The sequence below is a fragment of the Homo sapiens genome, chromosome 15 (genome assembly GCF_000001405.40).
Source record: "Homo sapiens chromosome 15, GRCh38.p14 Primary Assembly".
NCBI classification, from domain to species: Eukaryota; Metazoa; Chordata; class Mammalia; order Primates; family Hominidae; genus Homo; species Homo sapiens.
This window is the reverse complement of record NC_000015.10, coordinates 20,796,453-20,811,107: the sequence shown is the minus strand read 5'-3', so window position 1 is coordinate 20,811,107 and position 14,655 is coordinate 20,796,453. Positions and strand designations below refer to the sequence as shown.

Below are 14,655 nucleotides of genomic sequence, written 5' to 3'. Positions count from 1 at the left end.
TTGCCTGGCTTGTGGGGTATTGCTCAAGATATTTTTGCCCAGACCAATATCCTGGAGATTTCCCCCAAAGTTTTTTTGTACTAGTTTTATAGTTTGAGGTCTTAGCTTTACATCTTTAATCAACTTTGATTTTACTTTTGTATTCAGTGATAGATACTAGTCTGTTTTCATTCTTCTGCATATGGATATCCAGTTTTTTCAACACCATTTCCCACCAGTGTATGTTCTTGGCACCTTTGTCAAAAATGAGTTCACTGTAGGTATGTAGATTTGTTACTGGGTTCTCTATTGTGTTTCATTGATCTATGGGCCTCTTTTTATGCCAGTACCCTACTCTTTTGGTTACTGTAATTCTGTAGTATAATATGAAGTTAGATAATATAATTCCTCCAGTTTTATTTATTTATTTATTTTTGCTTAGGATAGTATTATTTCTTATACTGAAAGCATTCTATGTTATTATTAGTCTAATTTTGCAGTTTTACAATGCTATCCTCTTTTACAAAGCTGTGATCAACTCAAAGTCCAGATCAGGGTCAATTGTAGCTATTTGCAAAAGTAGCAATATTCTGGCCAGGGGTGGTGGCTCATGCCTATAATCCCAGCACTTTGGGAGGCCAAGACAGGCAGGTCACCTGAGGTCAGAGGTTCAAGACCAGCCTGGCCAACATGGTGAAACCCTGTCTCCAATAAAAATACAAAAATTAGCCGGGGATGAAGGCAGATGCCTGTAATCCCAGCTACTCAGGAGGCTGAGGCAGGAAAATCACTTGAACCCGTGAGGTGGAGGTTGCAGTGAGCCCAGAATGCACCATTGCACTTCAGCCTGGGTAACCAAGTGTGACTCCGTCTCAAAAAAAAAAAAAAAAAAAAAAAGTACTATACTGTGTAATTATTGAGAGCATAATTCACTATTATGTGGATCAGAGAGCAGAGCATTCTGAATGCATGAACATATCTTTAACATTTCAATACATTACTCATAATTACTAATGAACTAAAGAGAAACCAAGAAATTATGGTGATAGTTATATTGACTTGGTGAAATGTAGACACAAAATAACGGTAAGATGAGAAATGTGTTAACACAGGCTATAAGGGCATGCAAGAATAAAAATAGGGGAGAAAACAGGAGAGTTTTTCAAGAGCTTTCTGGTCATGTAAGTCAATTTGTATCGGTTAATTTTTAAAAGGTTTATTTACATGCAATAAACTGCACATACTTCAATTGTACATTTTGATAATTCTTGGCATTTGTAGCTCTACAAAACCAACAACATATGAAAATAGAAAACATATCCATTACCTTTACCACCAAAGTTTCCTTGTGCTTTTTCTACTCACTTTTTCCTGCCTATCCCCATTCCATCCACAGGCAACCACTGATCCACTTCTAGTCACTATCCGTGAGTTTTTATTTCCAAATACATAAAATCATAGGGTATGTATACTTTCTGATCACTCAGCATCACTATTTTTGAGATTTATTCATGTTGCTACATCTATCAATTGTTCTGTTCTTACTAGGGAGTATTATTTCATTATATACAGATACCATAGTAAGTTTATAAGTCACAAATTCACCTGTCCATGGATATTTGGACTATTTTCAGGTTTTGGCTGTTGCAAGTAAAGCTGCTATGAAGATTCATGTAAAATCCTTTGAATGGGCATATGCTCTTAGGTTTTCATCTCTACTGGAATAGATAGCTATATGGCTATCATGTCTGTAATATGCAAACACAAAGCCTGACAAAACTGATTTCTAAAGTGGAAATTCCACTGGAGAACCTTGACTCCAACCTGGCTTTTGAGATTATCTCCTATGTCTGGTGCAATGATTGGTCCTGAGGTAGCCACATGACCCAAGGGGGACCATGTTTAAACTTCTGAGTTTTCACCGAGGTTAACATGCATTTGTTGAAAGAGAAACCCCTTTTCCCCTACTCCCCCAGCTGCAAATGCCTTCAGGGATTATATCATGTTGGAACATTTGGTTACAGTGTTTCCTAAACTTTGGGGGTAAAAATTGTTCAAGTAGGTAAAAATGGAGCACACACAAAGAAAAAAGGAGTCCAGAAATATCAAATAAAGAAAGGGCCTCCATAAAATCATTTGAACTTATGATTAATTCATTAGTCATTAAAATAAGTTTAGTGTACAAAGAATCATCCCTCCAACCACCCTTTATTCCTTCACCAGGTTTAAGTTACATTTTTAAACTTGCAAACAAAAGATTTGTCATTAACTTAGACATCAAAATCCCTTGTCTCCAAGAGCAATCATTCAACTCTGTCCCTCTCATTATTACAATAATATGTTCACTTTATTCTACATACACCTGCTCGTTGCCCTTGTCTCCCTATTCTATTCTGTTAAAGTTATATCCAGACATTTATTTCATTTTATATCAAAGAAACTGTATACACGTTTTTAATCTTAGAAACATTTCTGAGTAATCTTTTGTCTCATATTCGATTTTAAGCCACCCAAGAAGCATTATTTTTTCATTTAGCATTTTAACTTTTCTAACCCAGGACTTTTATAGTAGATATTATGTCTTTTTCTAAATGTTCTGCTTCAATTTACATTTTAAATCTAATTTTTAAAAAGTGTATGTTTTGAATATTAGCATCATGCATCTCAGGCCTAAATATCCCTTGATAACTAATATTGTCCTTTTTTCTCTACATTTTTCACATATTTCAATAGGGAGCTATATTGCCTGCCACAATAAAAGTTTTTGTCAATATAACATAACACATAGGCAAAATATTGTTTCCAAGTGATTGATGATGTGGTGCCTTCAGTCTAGTCCCAACCCCTCAATGTAATCATCATCCCTAAATCTAATGAAATAGGAAATAAATATTTCATTTTGTTTCTAAAATTCAGCAGAAAAATATACAGCCTGTCACATATAGCCTGTAACACCAACATATAAAAATTAAAGCAGTTCCTTCTCCACTCCCACTGCTTCACTTGACTAGCCTTAAAAAATAATAATAATAATAAATAAAAGCAAAATTGTTCCTTTACTTATCTTTGAAATCTAATGGATATACTATCAGAAAAGCTCTTATGTATATGGAGGGCCTCTATAAAATATAAACTGTTAACTAGAAAAGTAGATTTATATGATAGTTAAATTTAAAACACAATTATATATAGTACCTTCCCAAATGCACCAGTACTTATTTCAGAATGCATGATGTAATTGACTAAACCATTTAGGGCTAGACCTCTGAAATAAAAGGCATTCACACTTTGTGATTCCTGGGGAAATATTCAAAATAGAAACTTGCAGAATCTTTACCTGATCATGATAAAAAAAATGTTCCTACTTGTTAATATGCCACAGCTTTTACAAGGTCAGCAAAAAGAGATTATCCCACAATAAAAGCTGATGGCCAAAATTATCTGCCTTACTTTAGTTACCATAATATCTATTAAGTGTAAATTTCTTCTGAAGGAAAACAGATACACTTTTCTCAGAAATGTCTTTAGATGAAGATCTAGCACATCTGTGTTCCTCACTTTTTAAAATGTTGATTTTATTGATAAATAAATATATATAGGGTACAATGTGGTACGATACATGTAGATATTGTGAAATGGACTAATTAGGCTAAATAACGTATCCTTCACCTCAGATATGTATTACATTATGGTGAAACATTTAAAATGTACTATTTTAGCACTTTTAAGATATGCACTACATTATGAGTAACTGCAGTCACTTTGCTGTGCACCATATCACCAGAATGTCTTTCTCCTAACTGAAACATTATCCCATTCAATATTTCCCCTTTTTCCACCCCTGCCCCCCACCCTGCTCAGCCTCTGATAAACCACCATTCTATTCTTAACTTCTATGAGTGCACAGTTTTGGATTTCACATATAAGTGATACTATGAGATATTTGTCTTTCTGTGTCTGGCTTATTTTACTTAGCATAATGTCCTCTAAATTCATCCATGTTTTTGCAAATGACAGATTTTCATTCATTTATAAAGATAAGTAGTATTTTTGTATGCATCCTACATATACTTTTAACTTTCCACAGCTTTATTGAGATATAATTTATACATTGTGTAATTCACTCATTTAAAGTACAAACTTCAAATTCTTTTAGTATATTAACTGGATGGACAAATAATCATCATAATATAATTTTAGAACATTTTATTTTCCTTAAAAGAGACTTGCACCCATTAGCAATCTTTCCCCATTTTCTCCAGTCTTTTTTAAACCCCTCCTAGTCTAGGCAACCACTCGTCTACTTTCTGACTATGAATTTGCCCATTCTGGACATTTCACATAAATGGAATTATAATAACACATAGTCACTTTTTACTCACATCTTTCACCTAACATATTTTTAATGTTCATCCATTTTGGAGCATGCATTAACAGTTTTTTACCTTTTCTTGCTAAATAAGATTCTATTTTATGGACACACCACATTTTATTTATCCACTCCTCAGCTGATGAACATTTCTGTTGTTTTCTACTTTGTGTTGCTATAAACATTTGTGTACTACTGTTTGTGTAGCATTTGTTTTATTTTCTTTTTGGTAAACACATAGGAGTGGAATTGCTGGGTCACGTGATAACTCTATGTTTAACCATTTGAAGAACTGCGAGACTGCTTTACATTTTAAAGTCTCACCAGTGGTGTAGAAGGGTTCCAATTTTTCCACATATTTTTATCTAGTCTTCAGTTGATAAGCACTTAGGTTGTTTCTAATTCATGGGTATTATGAATAATGCTGCAATGAACATGAAATTGCAGATGTCTGTTTTTGACATACTGATTAAAATTCCTTTGGACACGTATCCAGAAGTGGGATTGATGGATCATAGGGTAAATATATTTATAATTTCTTGAGGAAGCTTCATACTGTTTTCCAAGATGGCTGTGCTAATTTCCATTCTTACCAACAGTGCACAGGGTTTCTTTTTCTCCACATCCTCATCAACACTTATCTTCCATCTTTTTTTATAATAGCCCTAGTAAAATGTGTGAGGTGATATCTCATTGTGGCTTTGATTTGCATTTCTCTGATAATTAGAAATGTTTATGATTTTTTCATGTACCTGTTGGCCTTTTGTATGCCTTACGAAATGTCTATTCTGGTTCTTTGCTTATTTTTTTTAATAAGCATAGTTTTATTCTTATGTTTGAGTAGGTTGAGTTACTTATATATTATTATATGAGCCCCTTATCTGATGTATGGTTTAAAAATGTTATCCCATTTGTGGGTTCTCTTCATTCTATTATCACTTCTTTTCCTGTGGAAAAGCTTTTTAGTTTTATGCAATCTCATTCATGTGTTTTTGCTTTTGTTGCCTGTGCTTTTGGAATAATCTACAGAAAATCATAGCTCAGGCCAATGTCATACAGTCTTCTTCTATATTTCCTTGTAGTAGTTTTACATTTAAGTCTTTAATTTTGATTTCATGCTTGTATAAAGAGCAAAAGAAAAGTCAAATTTTATTCTTCTGTATGTGGATAGTCAGTTTTTTCTACACCATTTATTGAAAATAATTTTCTTTCTTCATTGTGTATTTTTAGTTATTTTATCAAAAAGCCAATTGACCACAGACATACGGATTTATTTACGTGTTCTATATCCCTTTGCACTGTTCTACATGTCTGTTTTTATGCCACTGCTATGTTGTTTTAATTACTATAGCTTTGTAATATAGTTTGGAATCGGGTAGTCTGATGCCTCCAGCTTTATTCTTTTTGTTCAAGATTGCTTTGGTTAGTCAGGGTCTTTTGTGGTTTCATACAAATTTTAGCAGTAATTTTTCTATTTCTGGGAATTTGATAGTGGTTGCATTTAATCTGTAGGTTGCTTTGGGTAGCATTGACACTTTTACAATACTAATTTTTGAATCAATCAATAAAGGATGTTTCTCCATTTATTTATGCCATTTTAACTTTTTTCATCAATGTGCTATAGTTTTCAGTGTGCAAATCTTTCACATTCTTGATTAAATTTACTCCTAAGTCTTTTACATATTTTTATATCTGTTTTGATTCTATTATAAATTGAATTGCCTTATTAATTTATTTTTCAGGTAATAGTTTGTCATTAATGTATAGAAACAATAATGCTATCTGTATGATTTTGTAACTATTAACTTTATTGAATTTCTTTATCAGCTTTAACCGTTTATTGTGGTGGAGTCTTTAAGATTTTCTCTACCTTGAGTGCGCCAGGCGCGGGGAGCCTAGGACCTGGAGCGAGAGCCGCCTACCTGCAGCCGCCGCCCACGGCACGGCAGCCACCATGGCGCTCCTGCTGCGCTTCGTGCTCCTGTGCAGAGTCGCGGATTTCATCAGAGGTTGGAGTATCACTACTCCTGAGCAGATGATTGAAAAAGCCAAAGGGGAAACTGCCTATCTGCCATGCAAATTTACGCTTAGTCCTGAAGACCAGGGACCACTGGACATCGAGTGGCTGATATCACCAGCTGATAATCAGAAGGTGGATCAAGTGATTATTTTATATTCTGGAGACAAAATTTATGATGACTACTATCCAGATCTGAAAGGCCGAGTACATTTTAAGAGTAATGATCTCAAATCTGGTGATGCATCAATAAATGTAACGAATTTTCAGCTGTCAGATATTGGCACAGATCAGTGCAAAGTGAAAAGAGCTCCTGGTGTTGCAAATAAGAAGATTCAGCTGGTAGTTCTTGGTAAGCCTTCAGGTACAAGATGTTACGTTGATGGATCAGAAGAAATTGGAAGTGACTTTAAATTAAAATGTGAACCAAAAGAAGGTTCACTTCCATTACAGTATGAGTGGCAAAAATTGTCTGACTCACAGAAAATGCCCACTTCATGGTTAGCAGAAATGACTTCATCTGTTATATCTATAAAAATGCTTCTTCTGAGTACTCTGGGACATACAGCTGTACATCAGAAACAGAGTGGGCTCTGATCAGTGCCTGTTGCGTGTAAACGTTGTCCCTCCTTCAAATAAAGCTGGACTAATTGCAGGAGCCATTATAGGAACTTTGCTTGCTCTAGTGCTCATTGGTCTTATCATCTTTTGCTGTCGTAAAAAGCGCAGAGAAGAAAAATATGAAAAGGAAGTTCATCACGATATCAAGGAAGATGTGCCGCCTCCAAAGAGCCGCACGTCCACTGCCAGAAGCTACATAGGCAGTAATCATTCATCCCTGGGATCCATAACTCCTTCCAACATGGAAGGATATTCCAAGACTCAGTATAAACAAGTACCAAGTGAAGACTTTGAACGCACTCCTCAGAGTCCGACTCTCCCACCTGCTAAGGTAGCTGCCCCTAATCTAAGTCGAATGGGCGCGATTCCTGTGATGATTCCCGCACAGAGCAAGGATGGGTCTATAGTATAGAGCCTCCATACGTCTCATCTGTGCTCTCCGTGTTCCTTTCCTTTTTTTGATATATGAAAACCTATTCTGGTCTAAATTTTGTTACTAGCCTCAGAATGTATCAAAAAATAAGTTAATCAGGAGCTGTAAGGAATATATTTTTAAAAATTTTTGTTTGGTTATATCAAAATAGTTACGGGCATTAAAGTTAGTAAAGACAAGTTTACCATCTGAAAAGGCTGGATTTTCTTTAAGAGGCTGATTATAAAGGTTTCTAAATGTTATCAGTACCTAAGTAAGATGTAGCACTTTGAGTATGAAATCATAGGTGAAGAAATCGGTGAACTTACTTGCATACCAAGTTGATACTTGAGTAACCATCTGAAAGTGGTACTTGATAATTTTTACCATTATTTTTAGGATGTGTATCTCATTTATTTATGGCCCACAAGTCTCCCCCAAATTAGTACAGAAACATCCCTGACAAAATTACTTATGTACGTTTGTACTTGTTTTCACAGCTCCTCGGAAAACTCTGTGTTAGGAATATCTCTAAAAACATAGAAAACACTACAGTGGTTTAGAAATTACTAATTTTACTTCTAAGTCATTCATAAACCTTGCCTATGAAATGACTTCTTAAATATTTAGTTGATAGACTGCTACAGGTAATAGGGACTTAGCAAGCTCTTTTATATGCTAAAGGAGCATCTATCAGATTAAGTTAGAACATTTGCTGTCTGCCACATATTGAGATGGCACTAGGTGCAATAGCAGGGATAGATTTTGTTGGTGAGAGGTCTCATGCCTTGAGATCTGTGGTGGTCTTTAAAATGGTGGCCAGCCAGACCAAGGATGTAGTATCTCATAGTCCCCAACTAAATGCTGGCTTTCCACTTTAGGTGATATTTTTCTAATTAGAAAAATATTATAACTCACTTATTGTTTGACAATTATAGATTGAAATTTCCTAATTCTAAATTTTAAGTGGCTCTTCAGTTTCAGTGCTCTATGTTGTTTGTTGTTGGTTTTGGATGGCATTACATATTATATGTTCTAGAAACATGTAATCCTAAATTTACCCTCTTGAATATGATCCCTGGATGATATTTTTATCATAAATGCAGAATAATCAAATACATTTTAAGCAAGTAAGTGTCCTCCATCAGTTCCGTATTCCAGACTTGGGAGGATGTACGGTTGCTGTTGTGTGATCAAACATGTCTCTGTGTAGTTCCAGCAAATCAAGCTGAGCTTCAAAAAAGTTTGAGTCTCAGTTTTGTGAAAGTGATTTATTCTTAAAAAAAAAAAAAGAAAGAAAGAAAAAAAGATAAGAAAAAGGAATAAAACAACCACTCCTCCTTGTCAAATGTGCTAAATATCATTTTAGGAGAAGAAAGTGGATTTATTGTATCTCCCTTAAGATTGTGAGGGAGTGTGGATACAGTAGAATGAGCCAATAGTTTCTTTATAATAAATACGGTCTGCAATAAATTATTTCACTAGCTCTAAAACCTTTCCCTAGATTTTAGTGGGGAGTTGGTTTCTGTTAATATCTTTGGGTGCTGTGGTGGTAAATGCTACATTATAAACGGTGGCATGTATTTACAGTTACAGTATTGTGTGTACACTTTTTAATGGTAAACTTAAGCTGAATGTGTAATGGACTTGTGTATAGTTTTACATATTTGGAAGCATTTTAAAAATAGGTTTTAACCTTACATAAAATTACTTTTATACTTGTGTTAACATTTTCTTCTGTGCCTTTTGGGTAATTTAATTTCTGTTATGAATTTCTGGTGCCTATGAGCTAGCTATCACCTACCTGAAAGTTGCTTAGAGGTGAAGGTACTGATTCTAAAAACACATCACTGTGACATCTTTCTATCCTCATATTTTCAAGCTTGCCTCTTTTCTGTTCTTTGTGGATATAACTTAAGTGATTGTGTTATTCATAAAGATTTAGAAATTTCAATATTCCCAACACTCTGACTATGTTTCTGATTTTATAACAGTAGCCATTTTTGAATGTCAGATGTTTGGCCTGTTTTATATGAATAAAGTTTATTTATAAAATATTATAAAAATAAGTAAATAGAACATTAATAATAAAAAAAGATTTTCTGTATCTTAAGATTATATTTTCAGAAAACAGAAACAATCTTACCTCTTCCTTCCCTATATGGATTTCTTTTATTTCTTTGTCTTGTGTAATTGATCTGGCTAGGCAATTACACATAATGTTTTCAGCATTTGTAATTTTACATCAAATCCATCCATTGTAGCACATTGACTGCTACTTTTCAACTTGTAAACCTGGACATTTATCACTAATCTTCCTCCAGTACAGGAGTCCATGGCCCGGTGTGGGCCCTACTGTGCCACAGTCCAGGGCACGGCTGGGCGCAGGTTCTCTCGTGCAAGAGTCCGCAGCTCTGCGGAGCAAGAGTTCTCCAGTGCCTTAGACCAGGGTGAGGCAGGGGTGAGGCTCCTTCAGTAGCTCAGTCCAGGACGCAGCCCTGCGAGGGTCCTCCTGTGCAGGAATACACGATGCTGAGGGGTCCTACTGTGCCTTAGTCCAAGACGCCAGGGGGCTGGGTCCTCTGGTGCCATAGTCCAGGATGCGAGGGGCTGGGTCCTCTGGTGCCATAGTCCAGGCTGCCGGGAGCTGGGTCCTCTGGTGCCATAGTCCAGGGTGCAGTGGAACAGGAGTCCTGTGGAGCAGCAGTCCAGGGCGCGATGGGGCATGGATTCTCAGGTGCCGCAGTCCAGAACACTGCAGGGCGGGATTCCTGCCTTGCTATATCCAGGGTGCCGCGGGGCGGGGGTTCTCTTGTGCAGGAGTCCAGGACGTGGCGGAGCAGGAGTCCTCCGTGTAGGTGTCCTCCGGTGCTGGAGTCCAGAGCTCAGTGAGGCTGGGTCCTCCCGTGCCATAGTGTAGGGCATGGCGGGACAGGGATCCAGCCCTGCGATAGTCCAGTGCTTGAGTCCGCAGTAAGGCAATGGTCCTCCAGTGCTGGAGTTCACGGTGTGGTGGGGTCGGGGTCCTTCGGTGACTTAGTCCAGGGCGTACCAGGGCGGGGTTCCACAGTTGCCATAGTGAGGATCCTGGAGGAGGGTGGTTCCTGCCTTGCTGTAGTCCGGGGAGCAGGGGGCAGGGGTTCTCTCTTGTCAGAGTCTCTGGTGCGATGGGGGTGGGCTGGGGGTTTTCCTATGTGATAGCCCACTGGGCGGTGAAGCCGGGTCCTCCCGTGCCTTTGTCCAGGGTGCAGGGGGGCGAGGGTCTTCAGTGGTGGAGTCCGTGGAGCAGCAGGGCGGGGGTCCTGCAGTGCCATATTCCAGGCCGCTGCGGAGTGGGGGACCTGTCCTGCAGTGGTCCAGGGCATGCGGGAATGGTGGTCCTCCTGTGCCATAGTCCAACGCGCAGCGGGGCGGGGGGTCACCTCGTCCTGCGGTCCACCAACCACGAGGCCCGGGTGCTGCTGTGCCTCAGTCCAGTGCGCGGTGGGACGGCGGTCCTGCTGTGCTGTAGTGCAGGACGCGGTGGCGCAGGGGTAGTCCAGAGAGCGCCGTGGCAGGGGGTCCTCCAGTGCTGGAATCCAGTGCAAGGCGGGTCAGGGGTCTTACCGTGCCGAAGTCGGTGGCAGGGGTCCTCCCGTGCCATAGTCTAGGGGGCGACGGGGCAGGGTTCTCTAGTGCAGGTGTCCAGGGTGTGGCAGGGCAGGAGTCCTCTGGTGCAGGAGTCCAGAACCTAGCCGAGGAGTCCTCCAATGCCAGAGTCCAGGGCTCTGCGGGGCCGGGTTCCCCCATGCCAGAGTGTAGGGCGTGTTCAGGCGAGGGTCTTGGCGTGCAGTAGTCCAGGGTGCGGTGGGGCAGGGGTAGTCCAGACCTCCATGGCGGGGGTCCCTCTGTGCAGGAGCCCAGTGCCCGGCGGATCGGGGGTCCTTCCGTGCTGTAGTCCGGGGCACGGCAAGGTGTGGGTCCTCTGGTGCCCTAGTTCGGGGGCGGCGAGTCAGAGGTTCTCCCGTGTCTTGGTCTAGGGCGTGGAAGGACTGGGGTCCTGGAGTCCACGCGGTAGCACAAGTTGCCCCAGGACCAGGTCCTCTGGAACCACAGTCCAGGGCGCTGAGGGGCAGGAGTAGTTCAGGGCGAGCCGGGGCCAAGGTCCTCGGGAGCCAGAGTCCAGGGTGTGGAAGGGTGGGGGTTCTGCAGTGCACAGTCCAGGACACCGCGGGGCGGGGCAGGGCGGGGATCCTCCGGTGCCTTAGTCCAGGGCTGAGCCGCGGTAGAGGTCCTTCAGTAGCATAGTCTAGCGCACGGCGTTGCAGGTGTCCTCCAGTGCCTGAGACCACGGCAGGTCGCGGGTCCCACTGTGCTCTAGTTCAGGATGGAGCAGTTCTGAGGTCTTCTGTTGCCTCAGTCTAGGGCGCTGGAGAGCGGGGATCCTCTGGTGCCAGAGTCAATGGATCCACCGGTCGGGGTCCTCCCATGTCTTAGCCCCGGGAGGGGAGAGGCGGGGGTCCTCCTTTGCCCTAGTCCAAGGCATTGTGAGGCCCCGCTCCTGCATTCTTAACTGTCTGTGCCTCTGCCGCCGCGGGGGAAAACTGCACCATCTCAGGCAAGCCTAACAGAGCAGCTGTCCTTAAAAGATTCCCAGTTGAGTGTGGTTCGGAGCAGGCCTGAGAAGTGTGCCCTTAGATGGCTTCAAGGGCTCTGGGCAATGTTTAAGGAATCCAGCTGACCTCAGTTACTCCGAGCCCTTTTCCACTCAGCAGAACTTCTGGCCACCGGGTCCTCTATCTGCGGAGCCCTTCTATCATCCCAGATCCCCACAGGGTGGACTCCGTCTCATCCTCACAATCTCAGCTCAGGCCTTATTCATCACAGCATTCCTGGCACCAGGCCTGGCCCATGAGAAATTGGTCAGATTAAGAGCTAAATGTGTTTCCATGGTCACTTGTTTTCTTCAGGCCTCCTTTCTTTGTGCCAGCATCTTTGGGTTTTGGTTAAAGTTTTCAGCAGCTGCATGAAGTTCCATTTTTCTTACCAGGTAAGAGACATAGCTTCATGAAAACAAAGGCAGAACGCTTGTGACCAGAGAACTCCCAGTCCTCTCCCTGCATAGGAAAACTGGACTTCTCCGGAGGGCTCCAGCTCCTGGGCAAATCTCTAGGGCCACTTAATTGGGCTGTCCCCCACCTTTGTTTCTGGTTTTGAAGGGGCGGAAGTTGGGAATCCTTTCTAAGTCTCTACACATGGAGCCCTTCTTTGGTGGGAAAGTCTTGACATATACCAGGATTGTCATTGACCTTTCAGAGCCTTCAAGAATCCTGAGCTGCTTTGGCTTCTGTTCCTGGAAGAGAGGCCACTGAACTGCTCTGGAGCTGGAGTTCAAGTTCAAATATTCATCACTGTTACTAAGCCTTTACATAGCATGTGATTTCTTTCCGGCAGGCTCATGGTCACTTAGGTTTGCTTGTATGTAGATGGAGTGGTCTGCATCCTCATTCAGGTAACACCCCCAGCCTTTCATGCTGAGATTGGCCATTTTATTTGTAACTCACTGTACAATCCATTTGCTCTTCCAGTGTCCCTTAGAAGGATGCAGAGTGTTCTGTAGAAAGCCATAGAGACCTGGGTTTAGGGAAAATATTTGACCCAAAGTCCGCCAACTCACATGAGTATCTCCCCACAACTTGTACCGTGCTAGTCTCTGGGTATATAGCAAATGAAACCGTGCCTGAACAGATGTTACAAACACCCTCCCCTGAGAGACTTCAGGGCTGCTTTATTCATGCAAAACGGTGTGCTCTAATAAGCTCAGAGCTGAGAGGAACAAGTTTTCATTCCAGCTTTCTCAAAAACTCCGTTTGTGACTTTAGGCCTAATAATAATAACACTACCTAGGTAGTGAACACCTCTGTGCCAAGAAATATCATGATCATTGCCTGAGTTGTAATTCTCACAGTAGTCCTGCACGACAGCTGCTATTACTGCTTATTATGCAGATGGGCAACCTGAGGCTCAGATGGAGTTAAGTGGCTTAATTGGTAGCAATAGAGCCAGGATTTGAACCCAGGGCTGCCTGATCACCAAATAAAATTGTACTCAACATGATGCACTTAACTTTTCTGGCCTCATTTCTCTCACCTGTAAAAATGCATATTTCAGATGTTTGTAATATTTTACCTGTGGTTGAAAGAGTTACCAGCCCTTCCTTGATCACCCATGGTAAGACCCATGAGCCTCTGAATATAATTATAGAAAACATTTGGAGAGGGATGGAGAGAGACAAGATCATGCCTCCTTTGATAATGTCAAATTTTCAGTGCACGAAGCCATACATAGTGCAGTTTTCTAGCTTCCCTTTCACACATGGCGTTGAAGAAAGTAAATTAAGCAACTCAGCTAACACTGGGAATGCAGCAGAAGTCATCGAGTTCAGTGCTGGGAGACAGTTGCCATGATATTCCAACATGGACACCAGGATCACAGTCGATGACTATGCCCTCCCTTGAAGATGGTGGCTTGCCTCTCTTTCTGTAAGCACATGTCATGTCATAACAATATTAAACAAAAGTAATGTCCCCATCTTCTTCTACACTGCCTTTGAATTATTATTTTAGATCTGCCAAAATAAATTGCAAACTCATTAACAAGAAATGGGGGTGCCTGCATCCCTGCCTTCCTGAGTAGTCTATTCACCCAAAGACAAAAGGGTGACCAGCCTCCATCTGGGATATTCAAAGACACAGTCACCCTGCCATGCAGCCTGAGGCTGGCGAAGGTCCAATCCCCTTTTTAAGAAGCTTGTTGGATGAGCTTCATAAACATACAACCACAAAGGAAAGGCACAGCTGATGTGAGCGAGGCTGATAAGATGGGCATTTTGTCTGCTTCAAGGTTAGAATGCAACTTGTCTGTCAAAATGTGGTTATCTGACCTCCACAATGCTGCAGTCCAGCTAAATCCTGCAAATATTCATCCACCATTTACTATGGATAAAACAATAATGTGCTGTGGGGAATCCAATTACACACACACACACACACACAAAAGTGCACACACACATGCATGCACACACACTGCTCCTGCTGTCTCAGAGGTTCCATGCTGGCAAGGCAGAAGTGCAAACATTAGCAGGTAAGTCCACTAGCAGGAGGAATGTGATAAGTAGATCCAACAGGGTACAACACAGTATGATAGAAGCAAACAAGGTAGAAATGAGTTCTGACTCCCTTTCACTTATGAAACTGATTATGGAATAGTGTATGAAAG

General features: G+C 41.1%; 1 pseudogene, besides 1 other annotated feature; it reads left to right on the top strand.

Moving 5' to 3' along the window:
* LOC100287357 (CXADR, Ig-like cell adhesion molecule pseudogene) lies at window positions 6,222-7,317 on the top strand (annotated as a pseudogene).
* Window positions 9,825-9,994: a silencer, noted in NCBI's record as "fragment chr15:21006443-21006612 (GRCh37/hg19 assembly coordinates)". NCBI's record gives its function as "represses an EF-1alpha promoter that drives an FKBP-Casp9 reporter gene in an ReSE screen in K562 erythroleukemia cells {active_cell/tissue: K562}" and the evidence as "EXISTENCE:reporter gene assay evidence [ECO:0000049][PMID:32094911]".